Source organism: Homo sapiens, chromosome 19, assembly GCF_000001405.40.
Source record: "Homo sapiens chromosome 19, GRCh38.p14 Primary Assembly".
Taxonomy (NCBI): domain Eukaryota; kingdom Metazoa; phylum Chordata; class Mammalia; order Primates; family Hominidae; genus Homo; species Homo sapiens.
Window position 1 is genome coordinate 39,704,241 of NC_000019.10, and position 26,155 is coordinate 39,730,395.

The 26,155-nt window shown below is 41.4% G+C and overlaps 1 protein-coding gene across 2 annotated transcripts, besides 4 other annotated features; it reads left to right on the plus strand.

Moving 5' to 3' along the window:
• Nucleotides 148-277: an enhancer, noted in NCBI's record as "active region_14627". NCBI's record gives its function as "activates an Ori minimal core promoter by ATAC-STARR-seq in GM12878 lymphoblastoid cells {active_cell/tissue: GM12878}" and the evidence as "EXISTENCE:reporter gene assay evidence [ECO:0000049][PMID:35858748]".
• On the plus strand, nucleotides 241-5,204 carry LGALS14 (galectin 14). 2 transcript variants are annotated; one of them, NM_203471.2, is made up of 5 exons: nucleotides 241-303; nucleotides 1,465-1,769; nucleotides 2,357-2,433; nucleotides 2,938-3,148; nucleotides 4,957-5,204. In NM_203471.2, exons 2-5 carry the CDS (start codon nucleotides 1,668-1,670, stop codon nucleotides 5,071-5,073), a joined length of 507 nt encoding a protein of 168 aa, NP_982297.1. In that variant the 5' UTR covers nucleotides 241-303; nucleotides 1,465-1,667; the 3' UTR covers nucleotides 5,074-5,204. The 2 variants fall into 2 exon arrangements, with proteins under 2 accessions (NP_982297.1, NP_064514.1); NM_020129.3 differs by lacking the exon at nucleotides 1,465-1,769.
• Nucleotides 298-387: an enhancer, noted in NCBI's record as "active region_14628". NCBI's record gives its function as "activates an Ori minimal core promoter by ATAC-STARR-seq in GM12878 lymphoblastoid cells {active_cell/tissue: GM12878}" and the evidence as "EXISTENCE:reporter gene assay evidence [ECO:0000049][PMID:35858748]".
• Nucleotides 4,563-4,882: an enhancer, noted in NCBI's record as "active region_14629". NCBI's record gives its function as "activates an Ori minimal core promoter by ATAC-STARR-seq in GM12878 lymphoblastoid cells {active_cell/tissue: GM12878}" and the evidence as "EXISTENCE:reporter gene assay evidence [ECO:0000049][PMID:35858748]".
• Nucleotides 22,869-22,918: an enhancer, noted in NCBI's record as "active region_14630". NCBI's record gives its function as "activates an Ori minimal core promoter by ATAC-STARR-seq in GM12878 lymphoblastoid cells {active_cell/tissue: GM12878}" and the evidence as "EXISTENCE:reporter gene assay evidence [ECO:0000049][PMID:35858748]".

A 26,155-nucleotide genomic window follows, 5' to 3' on the forward strand; every position in this document is an offset into this window, starting at 1 on the left:
TCCTTATCTATGCATTTCCCTGGTAACCCAATCCACAGCCTGGTACCTCCCCCACTGTCATTTCTGCTGCATTACAGACACAGACCTGCAAACATCTATGGTTGTGACAGAGTTTCTTTCTGACACCTGAGTCTTTCTCCTGCTGCACGGAAAGCTTGCTGGGAGGGGCTTGGAATCTGGCATGAAGCCAAAGGGCATCTCTGAGTTGCAGCATTTAAATGATCCCACTCAGAGATTCACACAGAAGACTGGACACAATTCCGAAGAGCTGCCCAGAAGGAGAGAACAATGTCATCACTACCCGTGAGTTGAAAAGTCACAGCCTTCAATAATCTCAAGTCACATAAACCAAGAAAGAAACAGGGGAGGTTTTCTGAGTTGAAAATATGAGCATTCCTACTGTGAATGCATTACCGAGAGTTGTGGGTGTGTAGAAGAGAAACCCTGAGGCTGTGGTATCTGAGATGATTGTGGGTGTAGGCTGTGGACCCTGGACCAGTGTAACCCTCTGTGAGGGTGTGGTGGTGTCTGATGAGAGTGAACTCTGCTGAGATTAAGTGACTTTAGGTGGGAGGTGGATGACCCACCAGGACCGGCAAGTGTGTGAGTGAGTGTAAGGGGGTGAGTGTGCTTTGTCTTCCTGTCTGTGATGTGAGTGTGTGTGGGCACAGCCAGACCAGTGCATGGTCATCTTTATGTGCACAGTGAGCAGGTGTGTGTAACTCAGTGAGTGGCATGGCTCTGTGTGACTATGGGTGTGTGTGCTGGGATGTGACTGGGTATTGAAGGGAAAACATGCACGTGGCCTTCTGTGCATGTGAAGGTTCCTCCCCACACAGCAGCACCTCTGATGAAGCACCTGTGTGTCTTTTCATGTGTGGCAATGTGGATCCCAAGTGGCTTAACTGGTGGGGATCTTGGGGATTGTGAGTTACCAAGGACTCGTTTCAGATCACTTATGAGAGCGAAATATATCATCAGTAGATATCTCTTCCCAGTAAGAGTGAGGAAAAGGAACGCAGATTATGGGAGAGATGGTTCCTCAGGTGGGGACTGCACAGAGTGATCACTGGCTTTTGCCTCCCAGGCTCAGCTTCCCTGTCGCTAGCCCAGCCTGTTCTTCCCATTGTGGAACAGGCGAGTGTGAAGATACTGATTTGCCAGGGAAGAATATTAGAGGCCGTGGTTAAAGAGACGGAATCAAACAAAATATCCACTGTAAGCTCTGTCTGAACTGAGACTAAACTTGTTCCTCCACTCATGAAAGAACAAGCTGTCTGAATTCAGACAGTGCTTACTGTGGACATTACTCAACAAAGCAGCTGGGTTCACTGGTTCATGACTATAATCCCACCAATTTGGGAGGCAAAGATGGGAGGGTAACTTGAGGCCAGAAATTTGAGACCGGTCTAGGCATCATAGTGATATGCTTTCTTTAAAAATCTTTAAATATCTGACTGGCAGAGTGGCAGACACCTTTCACCCCAGCTACACAAGAGGGGGCAGATGTGTGAGGATCACTGCAGTCCAGGAGTTCGATGTTTCAGTGAGCTGTGATTGCACCACTGCATATCAGCCTGGGTGACAGAGCAAGACCCTATCTCAAAAATACAGAAAAATCATCAACCACTTGCAGTCGTCGTAGAAATCAATCATTCCCTCCAGTTATGTCCCTGACCCACAGGCTTCATTTGTGCAAGTACTGGGGCTGTGCTGTCAGTAATGTGTGCCGCTTCTGGGAAGGACGTCCATTGCCCTTGATGATTGTGGTGCGTGTACATCCCACACACAGGGGTTTCCTGTTCTTTCGTCATTTCCCTTTCTCTTTCAACAAGTGTTGTTTCTCACTGGAGTGAATTTTTAAATTCTTTCACCCTCAAGTCTTGTTTTCATTTTCTGAGTTGAAAATAAGGCAGGTCAGTGTTTCAGGAGGACTCCCCTGTTCTGTTAGGTCACCCCTAATTGACCCTATACATGCCAGGGATTAGGGTAAAAGTTTTACCTATATTAACTCCTCTATTACTGAGAACACCCTACAAAGTAGGAATTCCTGATAGTCCTCCTTGTCCTGGGGAAACTGAGGCAGGGAGAGGTTAAGTAATAGATCTAAGATTGCACTGCTAGTATAAGGCAAAATGAGGACTGGAATCCAGGCATCCGGGCTCTTGAACAATTGCTCTTACCTATGGATCCACCATATCTTCAGGAATATGGGGCCCTGACTGTGGTAGGGTGAAAGGGGAGAGGCCTCAGAGTCTGACCTTTGATCTCTAACCTCCTGCACCATGGGAATCTGTTACATAGGGGAGGTTACACCTTACCCTTTAGCTCTCACTCACTCTCCATACCCTGGCAGGTACCATACACACTGCCTGTTTCCTTGCCTGTTGGTTCGTGCGTGATAATCACAGGGACACCGATCCTCACTTTTGTGTGAGTACTCCATGGTCCAATGGAGGGGGTGGAGGAGAGAAGGGAGAATATTTGCTAAGGGTTTAACCTTATGTGTGAGTGATGTGGAAAACTCTAGTTGGCATAATGAAGGCCTCATGCAAGTGCAGGCCCTGGAGACCTTCCAGCAACAGACATGAGACCTGTAGAAACTGCATGCAGGCCAGCCACGGAACCTAGGGGAGGAGAACACTCAGTGGGTTTGGGTTGTGGCTCTTTATTAAAGGGCATAGAATTTTCAGGAAATGAACAAGTCATAGGCCCATGTCACTGACTGGCGCTCAGTTTTTGTCTGGGGATGAGGAACACAGCATCTCCCTGCCTGGGGGCATGAGGAGCTAAAGCGTCCCCACAGGGACCAGGACTGCAGTATCATCGGGGAGACTTTTTGCCCTGGGTAAAGGGGGGAAGGGATTTGTGTGTGTGGCGAGTGTGTGTCTGCACAATGGGGGGACCTGCCCAACATGCTGTGTGCTTTGACCTCAGCAAGGACCCACAGCTGGAGGTGAATTTCTACACTGGGATGGATGAGGACTCAGATATTGCTTTCCAATTCCGACTGCACTTTGGTCATCCTGCAATCATGAACAGTTGTGTGTTTGGCATATGGAGATATGAGGAGAAATGCTACTATTTACCCTTTGAAGATGGCAAACCATTTGAGCTGTGCATCTATGTGCGTCACAAGGAATACAAGGTGAGTACTTCAGGATCTTCCAGCGCTGGAGCTCTGTGGGCTCTTAGAGCAGGAGGCAGCTTTCATTGACCTGGTGCCACCAGTCCCTTGGGGCCCATCTTCCATAACTATTCCTGTTTCAGGTTTTCATCACAGAGCACCCTCTGCTTGCACTGCCATCCTCAGCTCTTTCCCAAATCTGACCAAGATCAAGGTCGGCTCACCTGCCATTTCCTCCAAAGTGGAGAATCTCCTCTGTCTTTTCCCATAGTGCTCATTTCTACTTATGCCATTTTTAAAATTTTCATTTAGCTGAATGTATACTATATACTTAAGAAAAAGGTGGTTTTAATCATTCAAAAATTATGTTTCAATTTTGGGCCCAATTCTACTCATAAGAACACCATTACTAGAGTTCTGCTCTTCTTCAGAAAGAAACTTTTTATTTTTTTATTTTTTTGAGACAGAGTCTCACTTTGTCATCCAGGTTGGAGTGCAGTGGCGTGATCACAGCTCATTGCAAACTCCACCACCCAGATTCAAGCAATTCTCTTGCCTTAGTCTCCCAAGTAGCCGGAATTACAGGTGCATGCCATCACACCTTGTTAACTTTTGTATTTTTAGTAGAAGAAGAGTTTCACCATGTTGGCCAGGCTTGTCTTCAACTCCCGACCTTGTGTGATTTGCTCACCTTGGCCTCCCAAAATACTGGGATTACAGGCATAAGCCACCGTGCCCAGCCTTTCAGAGGAAATCTTTTCCTATGGAAGCATGTAGATATGTCTATGATTGCATTTGTTTTTAAGCAAATCCTGGTGTAAGTTGCTCTACACATTACACTTTAGCAACTAAGTTGATTTGTTGTCAAAGAATATATCTTGAAGACATTATCAATCCACGGTGCCGCTTCAGTTTTTAAAGATTACATAATATTGCATTAAAAAGTTTACCCAAAATTATTGAACTTGACCCTTTTTTGGGCATTAAAGTTGTTTCCAGTATTTTGCTCTCACAAATGATGCCGTATTAAGTTTTATAGTCAATCCTCTTGTCATTACTAATTTCCCAATACTTATACTGGAAGATAATTAGAAAAAAATGAAAAAAACAGCTCAAAAATGTGTAAATTTTAAATTTGAAAAATTAACACTAAGAAGGTGACTTTCTCTATAGCCTCGACATAAGGAATATATCCATAGTTTCCATTCTTTTTGGCTTTCTCTAATGAGTAGGCCAAAAGATTCACATCTTATTCAGATTCAAGTGAGGGATCTTTTCCTAGGCTTAAAAGTTGTTGAAGATAATATCCTATGTTTTACAAGACCTGTCCTCCTTTAACTCTCTAAGAACCCTGGGTTTCATTCTTTGCCACTAACACCTCAGATGTAGGCTACTCCAAAGAGGAACTGTGCCATCAGTAGTGAAAGGCAGTCACAGTTCATGGAACTGAAAAGTATGCATTCAATGAACATGGCCTCGCACTAACCCTCTGGCAGGTCCTGTGCGAGATGCAGGGTCTCAAGTTCCTGAGACACCGTCCCTGGTGATGGGGATCTTCCAGGTTGGAAGGGAGGCCGAGTAAACGGACTGTGTGACACGGTGTATAACTTCACTAGGGGAATGAGAGAAAACATTAGAAATAAAATGAGCATCTGTCTCAAATAGGCACGAAACATAGCCTGTAAAATCACAGAAGTGTGTCTACTAGGTTCACTTGTGTAACTAGGAGTTTTCATGGGGAAGGTTATTTGTAACTGGGCAGAGAAGAGAAAGGGCTGAAAACCTGTTTGGTGGCATGCTGTCTTTCTGATGCATTTTTCCTCTTGTAGGTAATGGTAAATGGCCAACGCATTTACAACTTTGCCCATCGATTCCCGCCAGCATCTGTGAAGATGCTGCAAGTCTTCAGAGATATCTCCCTGACCAGAGTGCTTATCAGCGATTGAGGGAGATGATCAGACTCCTCATTGTTGAGGAATCCCTCTTTCTACCTGACCATGGGATTCCCAGAGCCTACTAACAGAATAATCCCTCCTCACCCCTTCCCCTACACTTGATCATTAAAACAGCACCAAACTTCACATGATTGGTTCTTGCTTTAAGAGGGGAAAAGAGGAAGTGGTCATCCCCAAGAGGGTCCAGGACATTCTATGGGAGGCATCAGGAAATCAAAGGGGATAAACCTTCCTGTGACAAAGGGAGTGAGTGACAAAGTCCCTGGAATGTCTGAGAAGACATCAGAAACAACATTCTTCTATAGTAGGTAGTTGATGTCAGACAGTCTGAACCAAAATCCTTACCCAATGTCAGATGACTCACTGCACTGAAATGTTAGGTAGCTGTTTACAGCCACACAGGTATACCTAGTGGCTGTGGGCAGAACCTGTAACTTGAGGGAAATCATGTGGAATTCCTTAATTTTTTTCATTGTTCTCAGGATGCTTATTGTGTAGGCACATTGTGAAGTTTTCAATCTAAGTAGTAGGGAAATATTGGAGCCTAGTGTTTTCCTTAAAGAATCTCAATTATTCTTATTTCCAAATATTCAAAGATTTTTCCATTTTATGTGTGCAGAATTAAGGGGTTTCTCTTTGGAAATAAGTGGTCATGGTTTTAGATCAGAGAACATGTAGATTATTATTGGAATAGACACAGTCCATGTACATGGACACAGTGAGCAGACGCTGCTTTGCTGCTGTTCCAGTGACAAATTGTAGCATAGCACACCTCCCAACACATATTGACTAAAAACAATCATTAATTTTGATCTCTGCCAGCTTTACAGGTTTATTCAACTCATGTGAGTGGTAGGTCATGTGATGAGAGTCATTTACAGAGAAATCTTTTAGGCTGTGATTTCAGAGGATGCTTCCCTCCTGTCCAACTCAACACTAGGGCTGGATGAACACCTAGAAACTGGTGGGTTATCTCTTTCACTACCACACCTTTCCATTCATTCCTTGAATATGTTCAAATCAGGAGAGTCTCACGGTTCTCGGACTTAAGGAATGGTGATTGGCTTTCAGCAAAGAAAGCCTTCCAAAAGGCTCATGGAGACAGTGCATGGCATTATAGGACCTACCTTTGAATGGCAGACAGTGTCACTTCTATGACTTTACATTGAGCAAGTTGAGTCACACAGAGAGCCCTAATCAAAAGGAGAGGACTCCACAAGCTGTGATTATTGTGACTGTAGTCATGAGGAGCCATCTTTGGCAACCAGTTTCACTCAGTCGTAACTGGCTTATATACTTCCCACATACTAACAACACTAACCCTGTAAGGAATCTCTGAAGACATTACTATAACAGGAACAGGCTCAGAGTTAAGTGCTGTATCTTATCTAATCAGGATGTGGTGTCTATAAGGTGACTACAAATTATCACTTGCAATCTCTCTCAACATGTGCACAAAAGGGACACATTATCCGCTTTATACAAATCAAACAAAAAAGACAAAAAGAGATAGGAAAAAGGCAATGAACACACCTATTTTAGAGAGGCAAAATAAAATAGACAGCAGTCACTAATCCATATCACTGGTGAAACCAACCAGACATCTATTTTCATTTTCTCTGGGAATGTTTCTCTGTAGCACTTGTCCTCACCCTCCATTCTCAGCTTCTTGGATTTCTTACCAAAATGGCAGAATGGCAGCCCTTTTCCCACTGTAAGAGCTGTGATTATCTGCTTCATAGCATGTATGGAGAACCACTTAGGAGAAGAGAAACAAAATATTATCTAAAAATCAATGAAGGCAGGATGAAGAGAGTCCCACCAAATAGCCTCTTTGTTTGCAAGGACCATCTTAGGTGTCATTTTAATCATTCTCATTTTCTCTCTCCATGTTCACTGCAACAGTTTCTGCAACTCCAACCTCACTCATGGGTATGCCTCTCTGCTTACCCCTCCTTTAACCTAACATCCAGATACCTTGAGGTGCCAACGCACAGTGAATGGCACTCTTCATGCCTCTCTTCCTTGTTTCTTTTCAGTATGGAATGAAATTCCCTCCCCTCTCACTGGAAACTCTTGTGTTCTGATTAGATACACTGTCCTCCTTACACCTTCCCTGTCACAGTCTTGATCACTTCTTTATTTTGATAATGAATTATAGGCCCTATCACCAGCATGGAATTCATTTTTGGGGGGAATTGTGTAATTTGTGCTCTGAGTGGATGCAAACTATCCTGAAACCACTGGCTTCATGAGCAGAAAACGACTTGGATTTCACATCAACTTGCCGCTTGCCTGGCAGTCATTTTATTTGAATAACTGACATAATTTTACATGCCGGCCCTGTTAGGCAAACACACAGTGATTGTCCTTTCTTGAATGATATTCACCACCTCAGTGCACTTCCTAAAGGTCATTCGTTACATTCATCTTTATTCAGCTGCTACTCTGTGTTCATAGTGGTCAGGAATTACATCTTAGATACAAAGAGATTACATAGAGTCCAGGGTGAATGCTCAACTAATAATTTTTGAATTGCCTCTGAAAATCTACTCAACATTTTTCCTCCTCCTGCTCAATCAAAATTCATTGTCTTCTCCCAGCAAAAAGGGGATTGGTCAAAAAGCAGAAACTCTTTAATGAACTCTAAAGCCTCCTCATCTCAAAGGTCTTTTGGTCTTTCCAGTTATAACAGAAGCCCCCAAAGAATAAATATACTCTGTGATAATAATGTCCTTGATGCCTAACTCTCTCAGTGTTGCGATTCCTCTGGGATGCCATCTGTGATGCTACTAAACATTGGTGTATGTGGGCCTCTATTTGCAAGTGATGGACCAAGAAGATAGAATAAAAAAGAAATTTAAAAAATTTCCCCATTTTATTTATTTTTACCATTCTTTAACTTTTCTTTTAAGTTCAAGTGTGCATGTGCAGGTTTGTTATATAGGTAAACCCCTTGTCACAGGTGTTTGTTGTATAGATTATTTCACCACCCAGGTACTGAGCAAAGTACCAATAGTTATTTTTTGTGCTCTTCTCCCTCTTCTCACCCTCTGCTCTCAAATAGGCCCCAGTGTTTGTCATTTACTTCTTTGTGGTTATGAGTTCTCATCGTTTAGCTTCCACTTATAAGTGAGAACACGAAGTATTTTTCTTCTGGTCCTGCATTAATTTGCTAAGGTTAATGGCCTCTAGCTCCATCTATGTTCCCTCAAAAGACATGACCTTGTTCTTTTTTATGGCTGCATAATATTCCATGATGTATATGTAACATATTTTCTGTATTCAATCTGTAATTGATGGACATTTATGTTGATTCCATGTGTTTGGTATTATGGTTTTAGTTTGCATTTCCCTGATGATTAGTAATGTTGAACATTTTTTTCATATATTTATTGGCAGTTTTTACATATTTTTTGTCTTTGTACTGAAATTTTATTTTATTTTTATTTTTTTAACTCATTAATTTAGTTTATTTTTTCCCATAAGTTATTGTGATACAGGTTGTATTTGGTTACATGAGTAAGTTCTTTATTTGTGATTTGTGAGATTTTGGTGCACCCATTACCCAAACTGTGTCATATTTGTAGTCTTTTATCCCTCATCCCCCTCCACTCTTCCCCCCCAAGTCCCCAAAGCCCATCATATTATTTTTATGCCTTTGTGTCCTCATAGGTTAGCTCCCACATATCATTGAGAACATATGTTTGTTTTCCATTCCTGAGTTACTTCACTTAAAATAATAGTCTCCAATCTCATTCAGGTTACTGCAAATGCTGATAATTCATTTCTTTTTGTGGTTGCATAGTATTCCATTGTGTGTGTGTATATATATATATACCTACACACACAATGGATATATATGTACCTTTTTTTAATCCATTTGTTGATTGATGGACATTTGTGTTGGCTCCACAATTTTGCTATTGTGAATTGTGTCACTAGAAACATGCATGTACAAGTATTCTTTTCAAATATTAACTTCTTGTCCTCTGGGTAGATACCCAGTAGTGGGATTGCTGAATCAAATTGTAGTTTTATTTTTAGTTCTTTTAAAAATCTCCACACTGTTTTCCATAGCAGCCATACTAGTTTACATTCCCAACAGCAGTATAGAAGTGTTTCCTGATCACCTCATCCATGCCAAAATCCTTTTTTATTTATTATTTTTTATTATGGCCATTCTTGCAGGAATGAGGTGGTACTGCATTATTGTTTTGATTTGCATTTCCCTAATAATTAGTGATGCTGAGCATTTTTTCATGTGCTTGTTGGCCATTTGTATGTCTTCTTTTGAGAATTGTCTATTCATGTCCCTAGCCCGCTTTTTGATGTGGTTGCTTTTTTCTTGCTGATTTGTTTGAGTTCCTTGTAGATTCTGAATCTTAGTCTTCTGTCAGATGCATAGTTTGTGAATATTTTTTCCCACTCTGTGAGTGGTCTGTTTACTCTGCTGATTATTTCTTTTACTGCACAGAAGATGTTTAGTTTAGATAGATCTCATTTATTTATTTTCGTTGCATTTGCTTTTGGGTTCGTAGTCATGAATTCTTTACCTAAGCCAATGTCTAGAAGAGTTTTTCAATGTTATCTTCTTGAATTTTATTTTATTTCATTTTATTTTAATTTTATTATTATTATACTTTAGGTTTTAGGGTACATGTGCACAATGTGCAGGTTTGTTACATATGTATACATGTGCCATGTTGGTGTGCTGCACCCATTAACTCGTCATTTAGCATTAGGTATATCTCCTAATGCTATCCCTCTCCCCTCCCCACACCCATGACAGTCCCCGGTGTGTGATGTTCCCCTTCCTGTGTCCACGTGTTCTCATTGTTCAATTCCCACCTATGAGTCAGAACATGCGGTGTTTGGTTTTTTGTCCTTGCGATAGTTTGCTGAGAATAATGGTTTCCAGCTTCCTCCATGTCCCTACAAAGGACGTGAACTCATCATTTTTTATGGCTGCATAGTATTCCAAGGTGTATATGTGCCACATTTTCTTAATCCAATCTATCATTGTTGGACAGTGGGGTTGGTTCCAAGTCTTTGCTATTGTGAATAGTGCCTCAATAAACATACATGTGCATGTGTCTTTATAGCACCATGATTTATAATCCTTTGGGTATATAGCCAGTAATGGGATGGCTGGGTCAAATGGTATTGCTAGTTCTAGATCCCTGAGGAATCGCCACACTGACTTCCACAATGGTTGAACTAGTTTACAGTCCCACCAACAGTGTAAAAGTGTTCCTATTTCTCCACATCCTCTCCAGCACCTGTTGTTTCCTGACTTTAATGATCGCCATTCTAACTGGTGTGAGATGGTATCTCATTGCGGTTTTGATTTGCATTTCTCTGAAGGCCAGTGATGGTGAGCATTTTTTCATGTGTTTTTTGGCTGCATAAATGTCTTCTTTTGAGAAGTGTCTGCTCATATCCTTCGCCCACTTTTTGATGGGGTTGTTTGTTTTTTTCTTGTAAATTTGTTTGTGTTCATTGTAGATTCTGGATATTAGCCCTTTGTCAGATGAGTAGGTTGCAAAAATTTTCTCCCATTTTGTAGGTTGCCTATTCACTCTGATGGTAGTTTCTTTTGCTGTGCAGAAGCTCTTTAGTTTAATTAGATCCCATTTGTCAATTTTGGCTTTTGTTGCCATTGCTTTTGGTGTTTTAGACATGAAGTCCTTGCCCATGCCTATGTCCTGAATGGTATTGCCTAGGTTTTCTTCTAGGGTTTTTATGGTTTTAGGTCTAACATTTAAGTCTTTAATCCATCTTGAATTAATTTTTGTATAAGGTGTAAGGAAGGGATCCAGTTTCAGCTTTCTACAGATGGCCAACCAGTTTCCCAGCACCATTTATTAAATAGGGAATCCTTTCCCCATTGCTTGTTTTTGTCAAGTTTGTCAAAGATCAGACAGTTGTAGATATGTGGTATGATTTCTGAGGGCTCTGTTCTGTTCCATTGGTCTGTATCTCTGTTTTGGTACCAATACCATGCTGTTTTGGTTACTGTAGCCTTGCATTATACTTTAAAGTCAGGTAGTGTGATGCCTCCAGCTATGTTCTTTTGGCTTAGGATTGACTTGGCAATGTGGGCTCTTTTTTGGTTCCATATGAAATTTAAAGTAGTTTTTTCCGATTCTGTGAAGAAAGTCATTGGTAGCTTGATGGGAATGGCATTGATTCTATAAATTACCTTGGGCAGTATGGCCATTTTCATGATATTGATTCTTCCTACCCGTGAGCATGGAATGTTCTTCCATTTGTTTGTGTCCTCTTTTATTTCATTAAGCAGTGGTTTGTAGTTCTCCTTGAAGAGGTCCTTCACATCCCTTGTAAGTTGGATTCCTAGGTATTTTATTCTCTTTGAAGCAATTGTGAATGAGAGTTCACTCATGATTTGGCTCTCTGTCTGTTATTGGAGTATAAGAATGCTTGTGATTTTTGCACATTGATTTTGTATTCTGAGACTTTCTGAAGTTGCTTATCAGATTAAGGAGATTTTTGGGCTGAGACGATGGGGTTTTCTAGATATACAATCATGTCATCTGCAAACAGGGACAATTTGACTCCCTCTTTTCCTAATCGCATGCCCTTTATTTCCTTCTCCTGCCTGATTGCCCTGGCCAGAATTTCCAATACTATGTTGAGTAGGAGTACTGAAAGAGGGCATCCCTGTCTTGTGCCAGTTTTCATAGGGAATGCTTCCAGTTTTTGTCCATTCAGTATGATACTGCCTGTGGGTTTGTTATAGATAGCTCTTATTATTTTGAGATACGTCCCATCAATACCTAATTTATTGAGAGTTTTTAGCATGAAGCATTGTTGAATTTTGTCAAAGGCCTTTTCTGCATCTATTGAGATAATCATCTGGTTTTTGTCTTTGGTTCTGTTTATATGCTGGATTACGTTTATTGATTTGTGTATGTTGAACCAGCCTTGCATCCGAGGGATGAAGCCCACTTGATCATGGTGGATAAGCTTTTTGATGTGCTGCTGGATTCGGTTTGTCAGTATTTTATTGAGGATTTTTGCATCAATGTTCATCAAGGATGTTGGTCTAAAATTCTCTTTTTTGGTTGTGTCTCTGCCAGGCTTTGGTATCAGGATGATGCTGGCCTCATAAAATGAGTTGGAGAGGATTCCCTCTTTTTCTATTGATTGGAATAGTTTCAGAAGGAATGGTACCAGCTCCTCCTTGTACCTCTGGTAGAATTCGGCTGTGAATCCATCTGGTCCTGGACGTTTTTTGGTTGGTAAGCTATTAATTATTGCCTCAATTTCAGAGCCTGTTATTGGTCTATTCAGAGATTCAACTTCTTCCTGGTTTAGTCTTGGGAGGGTGTATGTGTCGAGGAATTTATCAATTTCTTCTAGATTTTCTAGTTTATTTGCGTAGAGGTGTTTATAGTATTCTCTGATGGTAGTTTGTATTTCTGTGGGATCAGTGGTGATATCCCCTTTGTCATTTTTTATTGCATCTATTTGATTCTTCTCTCTTTTCTTCTTTATTAGTCTTGCTAGCGGCCTATCAATTTTGTTGATCTTTTCAAAAAACCAGCTCCTGGATTCATTAATTTTTTGAAGGGTTTTTTGTGTCTCTATTTCCTTCAGTTATGCTCTGATCTTAGTTATTTCTTGCCTTCTGCTAGCTTTTGAATGTGTTTGCTCTTGCTTCTCTAGTTCTTTTAATTGTGATGTTAGGGTGTCAATTTTAGATCTTTCCTGCTTTCTCTTATGGGCATTTAGTGCTATAAATTTCCCTCTACCCACTGATTTAAATGTGTCCCAGAGATTCTGGTATGTTGTGTCTTCATTCTCATTGGTTTCAAAGAACATCTTTATTTCTGCCTTCATTTCGTTACTTACCCAGTCGTCATTCAGGGGCAGGTTGTTCAGTTTCCATGTTGTTTTGCAGTTTTGAGTGAGTTTCCTAATCCTGAGTTCCAGTTTGATTGCACTGTGGTCTGAGGGACAGTTTGTTATAATTTCTGTTCTTTTACATTTGCTGAGGAGTGCTTTACTTCCAACGATGTGGTCAATTTTGGAATAGGTGTGGTGTGGTGCTGAAAAGAATGTATATTCTGTTGATTTGGGGTGGAGAGTTCTGTAGATGTCCATTAGGTCTGCTTGGTGCAGAGCTGAGTTCAATTCCTGGATATCCTTGTTAACTTTCTGTCTTGTTGATCTGTCTAATGTTGACAGTGGGGTGTTAAAGTCTCCCATTATTATGGTGTGGGAGTCTAAGTCTCTTTGTAGGTCTCTAAGGACTTGCTTTTTGAATCTGGGTGCTCCTGTATTGGGTGCATATATATTTAGGATAGTTAGCTCTTCTTGTTGAATTGATCCCTTTACCATTATATAATGGCCTTCTTTGTCTCTTTTGATCTTTGTTGGTTTAAAGTCTGTTTTATCAGAGACTAGGATTGCAACCCCTGCCTTTTTTTATTTTCCATTTGCTTGGTAGATCTTCCTCCATCCCTTTATTTTGAGCCTATGTGTGTCTCTGCACGTGAGATGGGTTTCCTGAATACAGCACACTGATGGGTCTTGACTCTTTATCGAATTTGCCAGTCTGTGTCTTTTAATTGGAGCATTTAGCCCATTTACATTTAAGGTTAATATTGTTATGTGTGAATTTGATCCTGTCATTATGATGTTAGCTGGTTATTTTGCTCGTTAGTTGATGCAGTTTCTTCCTAGCCTTGATGGTCTTTACAATTTGGCATGATTTTGCAGTGGCTGGTACCGGTTTTTCCTTTCCATGTTTAGTGCTTCCTTCAGGAGCTCTTTTAGGGCAGGCTTGGTGGTGACAAAATCTCTCAGCATTAGCTTGTCTGTAAAGGATTTTATTTCTCCTTCACTTATGAAACTTAGTTTGGCTGGATATGAAATTTTGGGTTGAAAATTCTTTTCTTTAAGAATGTTGAATATTGGCCCCCACTCTCCTCTGGCTTGTAGAGTTTCTGCCAAGAGATCAGCTGTTAGTCTGATGGGCTTCCCTTTGTGGGTAACCCGACCTTTCTCTCTGGCTGCCCTTAACATTTTTTCCTTCATTTCAACTTTGGTGAATCTGACAATCATGTGTCTTGGAGTTGCTCTTCTCAAGGAGTATCTTTGTGGCATTCTCTGTATTTCCTGAATCTGAATGTTGGCCTGCCTTGCTAGATTGGGGAAGTTCTCCTGGATAATATCCTGCAGAGTGTTTTCCAACTTGGTTCCATTCTCCCTGTCACTTTCGGGTACACCAGTCAGACATAGATTTGGTCTTTTCTCATAGTCCCATATTTCTTGGAGGCTTTCTTCGTTTCTTTTTATTCTTTTTTCTCTAAACTTCTCTTCTCTCTTCATTTCATTCATTTCATCTTCCATCACTGGTACACTTTCTTCCAGTTGATCGCATCGGTTACTGAGGCTTGTGCATTTGTCACTTAGTTCTCATGCCATGGTTTTCAGCTCCATCAGGTCCTTTAAGGACTTCTCTGCATTGGTTATTCCAGTTAGCCATTCGTCTATTTTTTTTTTCAAGGTTTTTAACTTCTTTGTCATTGGTTTGAACTTCCTCTTTTAGCTCAGAGTAGTTGGATCTTCTGAAGGCTTCTTCTCTCAACTCGTCAAAGTCTTTCTCTGTCCAGCTTTGTTCCGTTGCTGGTGAGGGGCTGCGTTCCTTTGGAGGAGGAGAGGTACTCTGATTTTTATAGTTTCTGGTTTTTCTGCTCTGTTTTCCCCCCATCTTTGTGGTTTTATCTACCTTTGGTCTTTGATGATGGTGACGTACAGATGGGTTTTTGGTGTGGATGCCCTTTCTCTTTGTTAGTTTTCCTTCTAACAGCCAGGACCCTCAGCTGCAGGTCTGTTGGAGTTTGCTGAAGGTCCACTCCAGACCTTGTTTGCCTGGGTATCAGCAGCAGTGGCTGCAGAACAGCAGATATTGGTGTACCGCAAATGCTGCTGCCTGATAATTCCTCTGGAAGTTTTGTCTCAGAGGAGTACCTGGCCCTGTGAGGTGTCATTCCACCCCTACTGGGGGGTGCCTCCCAGTTAGGCTACTCGGGGGTCAGGGACCCACTTGAGGAGGCAGTCTGCCCATTCTCAGAACTCAAGCTGCGTGCTGGGAGAACCACTCCTCTCTTCAAAGCTGTCAGACAGGGACATCTAAGTCTGCAGAGGTTACTGCTGCCTTTTGTTTGTCTGTGCCCTGCCCCCAGAGGTGGAGCCTACAGAGGCAGGCAGGCCTCCTTGAGCTGTGGTGGGCTCCACCCAGTTCTAGCTTCCCAGCCACTTTGTTTATCTACTCAAGCCTTGGCAATGGCAGGCACCCCTCCCCCAGCCTCACTGCCACCTTGCAGTTTGATCTCAGACTGCTGTGCCAGCAGTGAGTGAGGCTCCGTAGGTGTAGGACCCTCCAAGCCATGTGCTGGATATAATCTCCTGGCGTGCCGTTTGTTAAGCCCGTTGGAAAAGTGCTGTATTAGGGTGGGAGTGACCCGATTTTCCAGGTGCTGTCTGTCACTCCTTTCTTTGACTAGGAAAGGAAATTCCCTGACCCCTTGTGCTTCCTGGGTGAGGCAATGCCTTGCCCTGCTTCGGCTCATACTCGGTGCTCTGCACCCACTGTCCTGCACTCACTGTCCAGCACTCCCCAGTGAGATGAACCCAGTACCTCAGTTGGAAATGCAGAAATCACCTGTCTTCTGCATCGCTCACGCTGGGAGCTGTAGACTGGAGCTGTTCCTATTGGGCCATCTTGGCTCCACCCCCTATTATGCCAATTTTATAGCAAAGCAAACTAAGTCACCAAACTGTAATCCCATTACTGGGTATATACCCAAAGGATTATAAATCATTCTTCTATAAAGACTCATACACACATATATTTGTTGCAGCACTGTTCACAATAACAAAGACTTGGAAACAAGCCAAATGCCCATCAATGATAGACTGGATAAAGAATATGTGGTACATATACACCAAGGAATACTATGCAGCCATAAAAAAGGATGAGTTCATGTCGTTTGCAGGGACATGGATGAAGCTGGAAACCGTCATTCTCAGAAAAGTAACACAGGAAGAGAAAACCAAACACCACATGTTCTCATAGGTAGGAGCTGAACAATGAGCACACATGGACACAGAGGGGAACGTCACCCACTGGGGCCTGTAGAGGGGTGGGGGGCTAGGGGAAGAATAGCATTAGGAGAAATATGTAATGTAGGTGACGGGTTGATGGGTGCACCAAACCACCATGGCACGTGCATACCTATGCAACAAACCTGCAGGTTCTGCACATGTATCCCAGAACTTAAAGTATATTAATAAAAAAATTATATATATATATATATATATATATATGGAGCAGGCAGTTAATTTTTTCCTTAAGCAAGTAATTCTCAGAAAGGTGCTATTTGGGGAAATGCTAAAATAGAGGATGCTCAGCATAAAGGCTAAGTAAAAGAAAAACATAAGAAATAAAACACAATGAACAGCTATATACATGCTGAAATTTTAAGATCTGAGCTTCATATTTAATTCAATTTGTCACTCTGAAGTTAAGTCAAAACTGACTTTTCAAGCAAGCTTTTTCTTCTGCCAATCTGTCAAACCACATGAAAATATAGATGATGAGTAAAAGCAAAGAAATAAAATCTGGGCTGGGTGTGGTGGCTGACACCTGTAATCCTAGCATTTTGGGAGGCTGAGGTGGGAGGACTGCTTAAGCTCAGGAGTTGGGAGACCAGCCGACGAGATCTCGTCTCTATTCAAATTTTTTTAAAAATTTGGCATGGTGGCAGGCCTGTAGTCCCACCTACTCATGAGGCTGAGGTGGGAGGATCACTTGAGCCCAGGAGATTGAGGCTGCAGCTAGCTACAGTTCTGCCATTGCATTCCAGCTTGGGTGACAGAGTGAGGCCCTGTCTCAAAAATAAATCTGTATTCTGATTGTAAAGGTAACATATACAAAAAAAAAAAAAAAAAAAAAACCAAGGGTAGAAAATGTGGACTATCAAAAAACAAATATTCTATTATAAACTATACCAGCCAGAGAACCCTATTGTTACAAATTTTGTTTGCAAAACTGATACCAATTCTGGGGAGTCTAGGAAGAGAAAACAGAAATTGCAAAGGTGCAGAGGCAGGAAATCATATGAGACTTTCAAGAATCTGAAAATAGAAACTTGGAATAAAAACCTGAGGAGGACAGGGAAATAGTAGAAGATGAGGCTTCAGTTGATCATAAACCACCTCTTCCAGTTGCAGATCCATAAAATGTGGTTACCATAGGTAGGTTAATTTTATCCATGCTTTACTATCTGCTTCCTTTATCAGCAAACCGTCATTGGTTCATGAAGACTGCTCCTCTGCAGATCTAGCCTTATGATGGCTTTCTATCCTCTTGGCAGGAAAGGAAAAGTGACGTGTGTGTTTGTGTGTGTGTATGTGTGTGTATTTAGTATAGTACATTTTTAGAAATAACTTCCTATTTTCTCTAAATAGAAATGACTGAAAATAAAATATTGTTTAATAATATTTGTAAGTGGATTATTAGTTTTTATAAATTTTTGTATGTTTTTACTAATTATAAAATAACTTTCTCATTTAAATTAAAACATTTTAGGAAAAACCAGTCTTAAATATTATTGGTAAAATACAAATATCTTCAAGATGTAAAAATATGGTCTAAATTACACAGGTCATGTACTACATTTACTAAATGTTTTAAGGTTGTAAACTACTTTTTTTGGCCTTTTAAAAACTGTCAACTTGCCTACTTCACAAATGATAAGGTCTAGGAACATATGGAAGTAACCATGCCCCTAACTATACTGGAAGGAGTCAAACTCTACCTACACCTAGCACATAATTTAAAAAACTTACTAGGTTTTACATTCAGGTTAAAAATTGCTAAGAATTGCCTTTATGACACACAATTGAGACTACTGAAAATATATTTATATACAAGGTATATAAAAACAGTAAAACGTGTTTAGTAAAAGATAATAAGAAGACATGAAAACATACATTTTTTCTAAGAATAAAAAATTGCCTTACATAAGAGAAAACTGAAGATTTAAACAAATTGGAGAAAAATTGTAAAAATATTACAAAGGAAACTGTATGAACATATTGACTAAATTCAAAAAGATATTATATACAAACAGTTTTTCAGACCACAGTGCAATCAAAATAGAACTCAGGATGAAGAAACTCACTCAAAACTGCAAAACAACATGAAAACTGAACAACCTGCCCCTGAATGACGACTGGGTACATAACAAAATGAAGGCAGAAATAAAGATGTTCTTTGAAACCAATGAGAATGAAGACACAATGTACAAGAATCTCTGGGACACATTTAAATCAGTGGGTAGAGGGAAATTTATAGCACTAAATGCCCACAAGAGAAAGCAGGAAAGATCTAAAATTGACACCCTAACATCAAAATTAAAAGAACTAGAGAAGCAACAGCAAACAAATTCAAAAGCTAGTAGAAGACAAGAAATAACTAAGATCAGAGCAGAACTGAAGGAGACAGAGACACAAAAAACCCTTCAAAAAATCAACCCAGGAGCTGGTTTTTGAAATATCAACAAAATGGACTGCTAGCAAGACTAATAAAGAAGAAAAGAGAGAAGAATCAAATAGACGCAATAAAAAATGATATAGGGGATATCACTACTGATCCCAGAGAAATACAAACTACCACCAGAGAATGCTATAAACACCTCTACACAAGTAAACTAGAAAACCTAGAAGAAATGGATAAGTTCCTGGACACATACACACTCCAAAGTCTAAAGCAGGAAGAAGTTGAATACCTGAATAGACCAATAACAAGTTCTGACATTGAGGCAGTAATTAATAGCCTATCAATCAAAAAAAAAGTCCAGTACCAGACAGACTCACAGCCAAATTCTACCAGAGGTACAAAGAGGAGCTGGTACTTTTCCTTCTGAAACTATTCCAAAAATAGAAAAAGAGGAAATCCTCCCTAACTCATTTTATGAGGCCAGCATCATCCTGATACCAAAACCTGGCAGAGACACACCAAAAAAGGAAAATTTCAGCCAATATCCCTGATGATAATCGATGCAAAAATCCTCAATAAAATACTGGCAAACTGAATCCAGCAGCACATCAAAAAGCGTATCCACCATCATCAAGTTGACTTCATACCTGGGATGCAAGGCTGGTTCAACATATACAAATCAATAAACATAATCCATCACATACACAGAACCCATGACAAAAACTGCATGATTATCTCAATAGATGCAGAAAAGGCCTTCGATAAAATTCAACAGAATTTTCATGCTAAATTTCATGCTAAAAATTCTCAATAACCTAGGTATCGATGAAACATATCTCAAAATAATAAGGGCTATTTATGACAAACCCACAGCCAATATCATACCAAATGGGCAAAAACTGAAGCTTTCCCTTTGAAAACCGGCAGAAGACAAGGATGCCCTTTCTCACCACTCCTATTCAACATAGTATTGGAAGTTCTGGCCAGGGCAATCAGGCAAGAGAAAGAAAGAAAGGGTATTGGAATAGGAAAAGAGGAAGTCAGATTGTCTCTGTTTGCAGATAACATGATTGTATATTTGGAAAACTCCACCTTCTCAGCCCAAAATCTGCTTAAGCTGATAAGCAACTTCAACAAAGTCTCAGAATACAAAATCAATGTGCAAAAATCACAAGCATTCCTATACACCAATAACACAGAGAACCAAATCATGAGTGAACTCCCATTCACAATTGCTACTAAGAGAATAAAATACCTAGGAATACAACTTACAAGGGATGTGAAGGACCTCTCCAAGGAGAACTACAAACCACTGCTCAAGGAAATAAGAGAGGACACAAACAAATGGAGTAATATTCTGTGCTCATGGAAAGGAAGAATCAATATCATGATAATGGCCATACTGCCCAAAGTAATTTATAGATTCAATGCTATCCCCATCAAGCTACCACTGACTTTCTTTACAGAATTGGAAAATACTACTTTAAATTTCATATGGAACCAAAAAAAGAGCCTGCATAGCCAAGACAATCCTAAGCAAAAAGAACAAAGCTAGAGGCATCATGCTACCTGACTTCAAACTATACTACAAGGCTACAGTAACAAAAACAGCAGGGTACTGGTACCAAAGCAGATATGTAGACCAAAGGAACAGAACAGAGACCTCAGAAATAACACCACACATCTACAACCATCTGATCTTTGACAAACCTGACACAAACAAGCAATGGGGAAAAGATCCCCTATTTAATAAATGGTATTGGGAAAACTGGCTAGCCATATGCAGAAAACTGAAACTGGACCCCTTCCTTACACCTTATATAAAAATCAACTCAAAATGGATCAAAAACTTAAACATAAGACCTAGGACCGTAAAAATCCTAGGGGAAAATCTGGGCAATACCATTCAGGACACAGGCATGGGCAAAGACTTCATAACTAAAACACCAAAAGCAATGGCAACAAAAGCCAAAATTGACAAATGGGATCTAATTAAACTAAAGAGCTTCTGCACAGCAAAAGAAACTATCATCAGAGTGAACAGGTAACCTACAGAATGGGAGAAAAATTTTGCAATCTATCCATCTAACAAAGGGCTATTATCCGGAATCGACAAAGAACTTAAACAAATTTACAACTAAAAAACAACCCAAATGAAAAGTGGGTGAAGAATATGAACAAACACTTCTCAAAACAAGACATTTATGCAGCCAACAAACATATGAAAAAATGCTTATTATCACTGGTCATTAGAGAAATGCAAATCAAAACCTCAATGAGATACAATCTCATGCCAGTTAGAATGGCAATCATTAAAAAGTCAGGAAACAACAGATGCTGGTGAGGATGTGGAGAAATAGGTACACTTTTACACGTTGGAGGGAGTGTAAATTAGTTCAACCATTGTGGAAGACAGTGTGGCAATTCCTCAAGGATCTAGAACTAGAAATACCATTTGACCCAGCAATCCCATTACTGGGTATATACCCAAAGGATTATAAATATTTGTACTATAAAGACACAGGAACATGTATGTTTCTTGTGGCAGTATTCACAATAGCAAAGACTTGGAACCAACCCAAATGCCCATCAATGATAGACTGGATAAAGAAAATGTGGCACATATAGACCATGGAATACTATGCAGCCAGAAAAAAAGGATGAGTTTGTGTCCTTTGCAGGGACATGGATGAAGCTGGAAACCATCATTCTCAGCAAACTATCACAGATCAGAAAACCAAACACCGCATGTTCTCTCTTGTAAGTGGGAGTTGAACAAAGAGAACACATAGATACAGGGAGGGGAACATCACACACAGGGGCCTGTCTGGGGGTTGGGGGCTAGGGGAGGGATAACATTAGGAGAAATACCTAATGTAGGTGACAGGTTGATGGGTGCAGCAAACCACCATGGCACATGTATACCTGTATAACAAAACTGCACGTTCTGCACATGTACCCCGGAACATAAAGTATGTGTGTGTGTGTGTGTGTGTGTGTGTACAAAAACCAGAGAAAGAGCCTACACTAAAGTTTAACATAGGCTAGGTCTCATTCATTATGATTTGAGATTTAGGCTTCCAGCTTTAAAGAATGTTGCTTTAACCTTCTCTTCTCCCTTTACTTTGGACTGTTCATTCTGTAAGTTTAAGTACACTATCATTAAGAAAAAATGCACAAGTCAAATGGTTTGTTATCTGCAAAGGGCTCATTGTGGCATCTCACCTCACATTTCCAAGCCCCACACACATGGCTGTTCATGACCACATAATGACCAAAGTACACTCAGAAATAGAAGGCAATGTCTGACTTCTCATTGGTTCCAGTATGGGAATCATCCACCTGCAGCTGTGGGTCCTTGCTGAGCTCAAAGCACACAGCAGGTTGGGCACACACTCCACACACACCAACCCTTTTCCACCTTTTCCCAGGCCAAACAGGAGCCTTCCTGATGACACTGCAGGCTTTATCCCTGGGGGGCTGCTTCAGCTCCTTGTACCCTTCAAGAGTGAGATGCTCTGCCCCTCATCCCTAGATAAAAACTGAGACACAATGACAGACTTTGTCCTATGAGTTGTCCATTTACTGAAAACTTAATGCCACTTGGTAAAGAGCCACAGCCCCAATCCTCTGAGTATCCTCCTCCCCTAGGCCCCATGACTGGCCCACAGTGCAACTAATGCAGGTTTCGTGCCTGGTGCAGGAGGGTCTTTAGGACCTGCACTTGGATGATGCCTCCATCCTCCAACTAGACATTTGCGCACCACTCACACATGAGGTGAGCATTTAGCAAATATTCTCCTTTCTCTTCCATCATCCTGCCATGGACCATGGGGTACTCACAAGAAAGTAAAAACACTGTCCTTCTGAATGTCACAGAACCAATAGTCAAGGACACAGGTCGTGTGTGTGACACCTCCTATGGAGATTGAGAGTGGGTGAGAAGGGAAGGACCAAGTGTGGACTCCCCTCCTATAACAGATTCCCATAGTGCAAGAGTTTCGAGATCGAAGGGCAAATTCTGAGGACTGCTCCCCCTACACTACCACAGTCAAGGTTTCATATTTTTGAAGAAATTGGGGGCCTATAGGTAAGAGCAAGGGTTCTGGAGCCAAGCTGCCTGGATTCCAGTTCTGATTCTGCCTCTTACTTGCAGTGCAATCTCAGATCCATAACTTGAAGTCTCCCCACCTACGTTTCTCCAGAACAAGGAGGAGTATAAGGAGTTCCTACTTTGTAGGGTTTTCCCAGTAACAGAGGAGTTAATATGTGTGAAACCTTTGCCCTAATCCCCGGTATGTACAGGGCCAGTTAGGGGTTGCACCACAGAATGGGGACCGTCCTTATGGGACACTAACCTGCATTCATTTTCAACTCTGAAGTGCTGAAAACAAGACCTGAGGATGTGAAAACAGAGAAATTCACCCAGTGAGAACGGTTTTATAAAAATAGGGAAATAACAAAAGAACAGAGAACCCTTGTGTGTGGAATGAATATGCAAATTACAATTTTTTTTATGTTGTTGTCTGGTTTGCTTTTCTTTTTTTCTTTCTTTTTGTGGATACAGGGCCTTACTCTGTCACCCAGGCTGGAGTGCGGTGGCATGATCAGAGCTCACTGCAGCCTCAAACTCCTGGACTCAAGTGATCTTCTTACCTCAGTCTCCCGAGTAGCTACAAATAAAAATGCGCACAAACAGGCTTGGCTAGTTTTGAATTTTTTTGGTACATACAAGGTCTCACTACTTTACGCAGGCTGGTCTGGAACTCCTGTCCCCATGCGATCCTCCCAACTCGGCCTCCCAAAGTGCTCGGATTACAGCCATGAGCCACAGCCTCTGGCAAGTTGTTGAATAGCATCCACTGTAAGCTCTTCCTGAACTAAAGCTAAACTGGTTATTTCTCTGTTTTGGATGATTCTGTCTCTAAAACCATGTCCCCCAATGTCATTCCCTAGTAAGCCAGAATCTGCTCACCCTCTTCTCCCAGAACGGGATAGACAGCTTGGGCTGGGAGACAGAGAGAGACCTGAGGCTGGAGGCAGAAGTTGGTGGTCCCTCTGTGCAGATCCCACCTGAAGAAACAGCCCCAATAGACTGTGTTCTTCTTTTCCACTCTGCTTGGAAAGAGTCACCTGAGGATTTATGCATTCAGCTCTCATGAATGCTCAGAGACGAGTCCCCGGTAACTCATGATCCCCAAGATCTCCACTAGTTCTGCCACCCGGGATCCACATTGACATATGTGGGAAGATGCACAGCTGCTTCATCAGAGGCGCTACTGTGTGAGGAGGAACCTTCCCATGCACAGAAGGCCACATGCATGTTCACAGCTCAACACCCAGTCACATCGCAGCACACACACCCACAGTCACACAGAGCCACGCCAATCACTGAGTCACACAGGCCTGCTCACTGTGCATATAAAGATGCTCATGCACTGGTATGGCTGTGTTCACACTCACACATCACAGTCATGAAGACAAAGCACAATCACCCCCTTACATTCACTCACACACTCCCCCATCCTGGTGGGCTAATCATGTCCCACCTAAAGTCACATCGTCTCAGCAGAGTTTCCTCTCCTCAGACATCATCACATGCCCACAGAGGGTTACACTGATCCAGGGTTCACACACCACACCCCACAAGCATCTCAGATACCATTACCCCAGTGTCTCTCTTCCACACCCCTACCATTCTCAGTAAATCATTCACAATGGAAATGTTCATATTTTCATCTCATAAAATCTCTCTTTCCTTTTTTAGGGTGACCTGAGATTATTGAAGGCTGTGCCTTTTCAACTCATGGGTAACAGTGATATTGTTGTCTCCCTCTGGGTGACTCTTCTGAATTGTGTCCAGTATTCTGTGTGAATCTCTTGGAGTTGAAGCATTTAAATGATCCCTGTCAGCCCTGCCCTTTGGCTTCATTCCTGATTCCAGCCACCTTCCAGCAAGATTCCCCTGCAGAGTGAGAAGGGATGGAGTGTCAGAAACAGACTCAGTCACAACCACACCTGTTTGCAACCCTATGTCTGTGATGCAGCAGAAATGACAGTGATGGGGGTACCAGGGGAAGGAAGGGGTCACCAGGGTAATGTGCAGATCCGGATGATGGAGTTAGGGTGAGGGGTTGTGAAGTCCAGCCTCCATGCTTCTCATGAAGCCTTTCCTCCACTGTGCAGAATTCACCTGGAATGAGTGAATTTTTCTCACTTGTGCGATATTTTAAAAATGGGAATTCTTAAGGCAAAACAGCCAGCCCTGGAAAAAAAATTCTCTCATTCTCTTCCAGAGGTTCTGGGAGACCATAGACCTTGATCCTCAACAGGACCTGGGGAGAGAGGTATAGAGAGTCTCTGTGTCATCCTGACTCCATCCAGGCCCCTTGCCTTTGCCAGGTGAGGGCCATTCATACTCCATCTCTCACACACCTGGGCTCCATCCACACTCTCTCATTTTTCTCTGGGTGTCCATGTGCAATAAAATCTCAGAGACTCAGATTCTGGGAGAAAGGTGAGATTCCTAAGTCTAGCGCTTGATTTGTGTGCTACTTAGCTCAAAACCTGCATGAAGACAGGGACAGGGGCAGGTGATCAGACTTCAGCTACAACGCAGTCTTCACTTGGGGTGGAGGACTCAGGACCCCTCCTCAAGTTCTCTTTTTGTTATAACAGAAAACATCCTTAAAATCTGTATAGGAATTTAAAGAAGAAATGAATTCAAATCCCTCTCCCTCCCTCCTTTCTTTTTATTTTACTCTTCAGTTTTATTGACTGTGAATTTAAACTATTTTTGAAAACTTCATCCAAGTTAACAAAAAATGTATATTATGATAAATTCATGATTAAACTAGCACTCATTTAGCCACCACAATTGTACTCGTGGCTTGTTGCTAACACACATGGACTCCTATGTGTCCCTTCCCTATCACGTGACCTTCTTGCCCCTACTGGCAACCATGCTCCTGCCTTTCTTTTTTGCTTTGCTTTCGTCTTATTACTTTGTTTAATTTTGCCTGTAGGTGTTTATCTTGGATTTTTTTTATTGGGTCATGCATCTTTTCTAAAACATTTCTGTTTTTAGGATTCATCTATGTTGCCGTGTGGAGCTATAGATCCTTCCTTTTCACTTATCTCCACTCTGGAGTTTTATAAATTGGCCAAGACATACTCAGCAGTTTACTCTTGATAGATATTGAATGACTTCTAGCTTGAGGCTATTGAAACATTGCCTTCTCTGCAAAATTATCCTGATCTCCTCGTGCCGATAATTTCTTATTTCAAGGAGAGTGGCCAAAAAGCCAATTGAATCCCTGAAATGTCAAGAAAGTGTCTGCCTTTCTGACTGGTGAATAGAAATAAATTGTCCAAAATAAACACAGAGACCTACTGGGAAGACAGGGATCAAGACACTCTGAGGATTAAAGTCTTTAAAGCATTTCAGATGGAGGGGGCTGGCCCAGAATTCTCCCCAAATGAGACACTCCAGGGAGAACATTTACTCTCGATAAGGCTGGGGCATCCGGAGGGGTT

Excerpts from the sequence above, each read along its gene's own strand:
- LGALS14 (NM_203471.2), top strand. The coding sequence starts at position 1,668 with ATGTCCCTGACCCACAGGCTTCATTTGTGCAAGTACTGGGGCTGTGCT. Across the intron at positions 2,434-2,937 it reads ACACCGATCCTCACTTTTGT|CAAGGACCCACAGCTGGAGG; the intron begins GTGAGTACTCCA and ends CTTTGACCTCAG. Across the intron at positions 3,149-4,956 it reads TGCGTCACAAGGAATACAAG|GTAATGGTAAATGGCCAACG; the intron begins GTGAGTACTTCA and ends TTCCTCTTGTAG.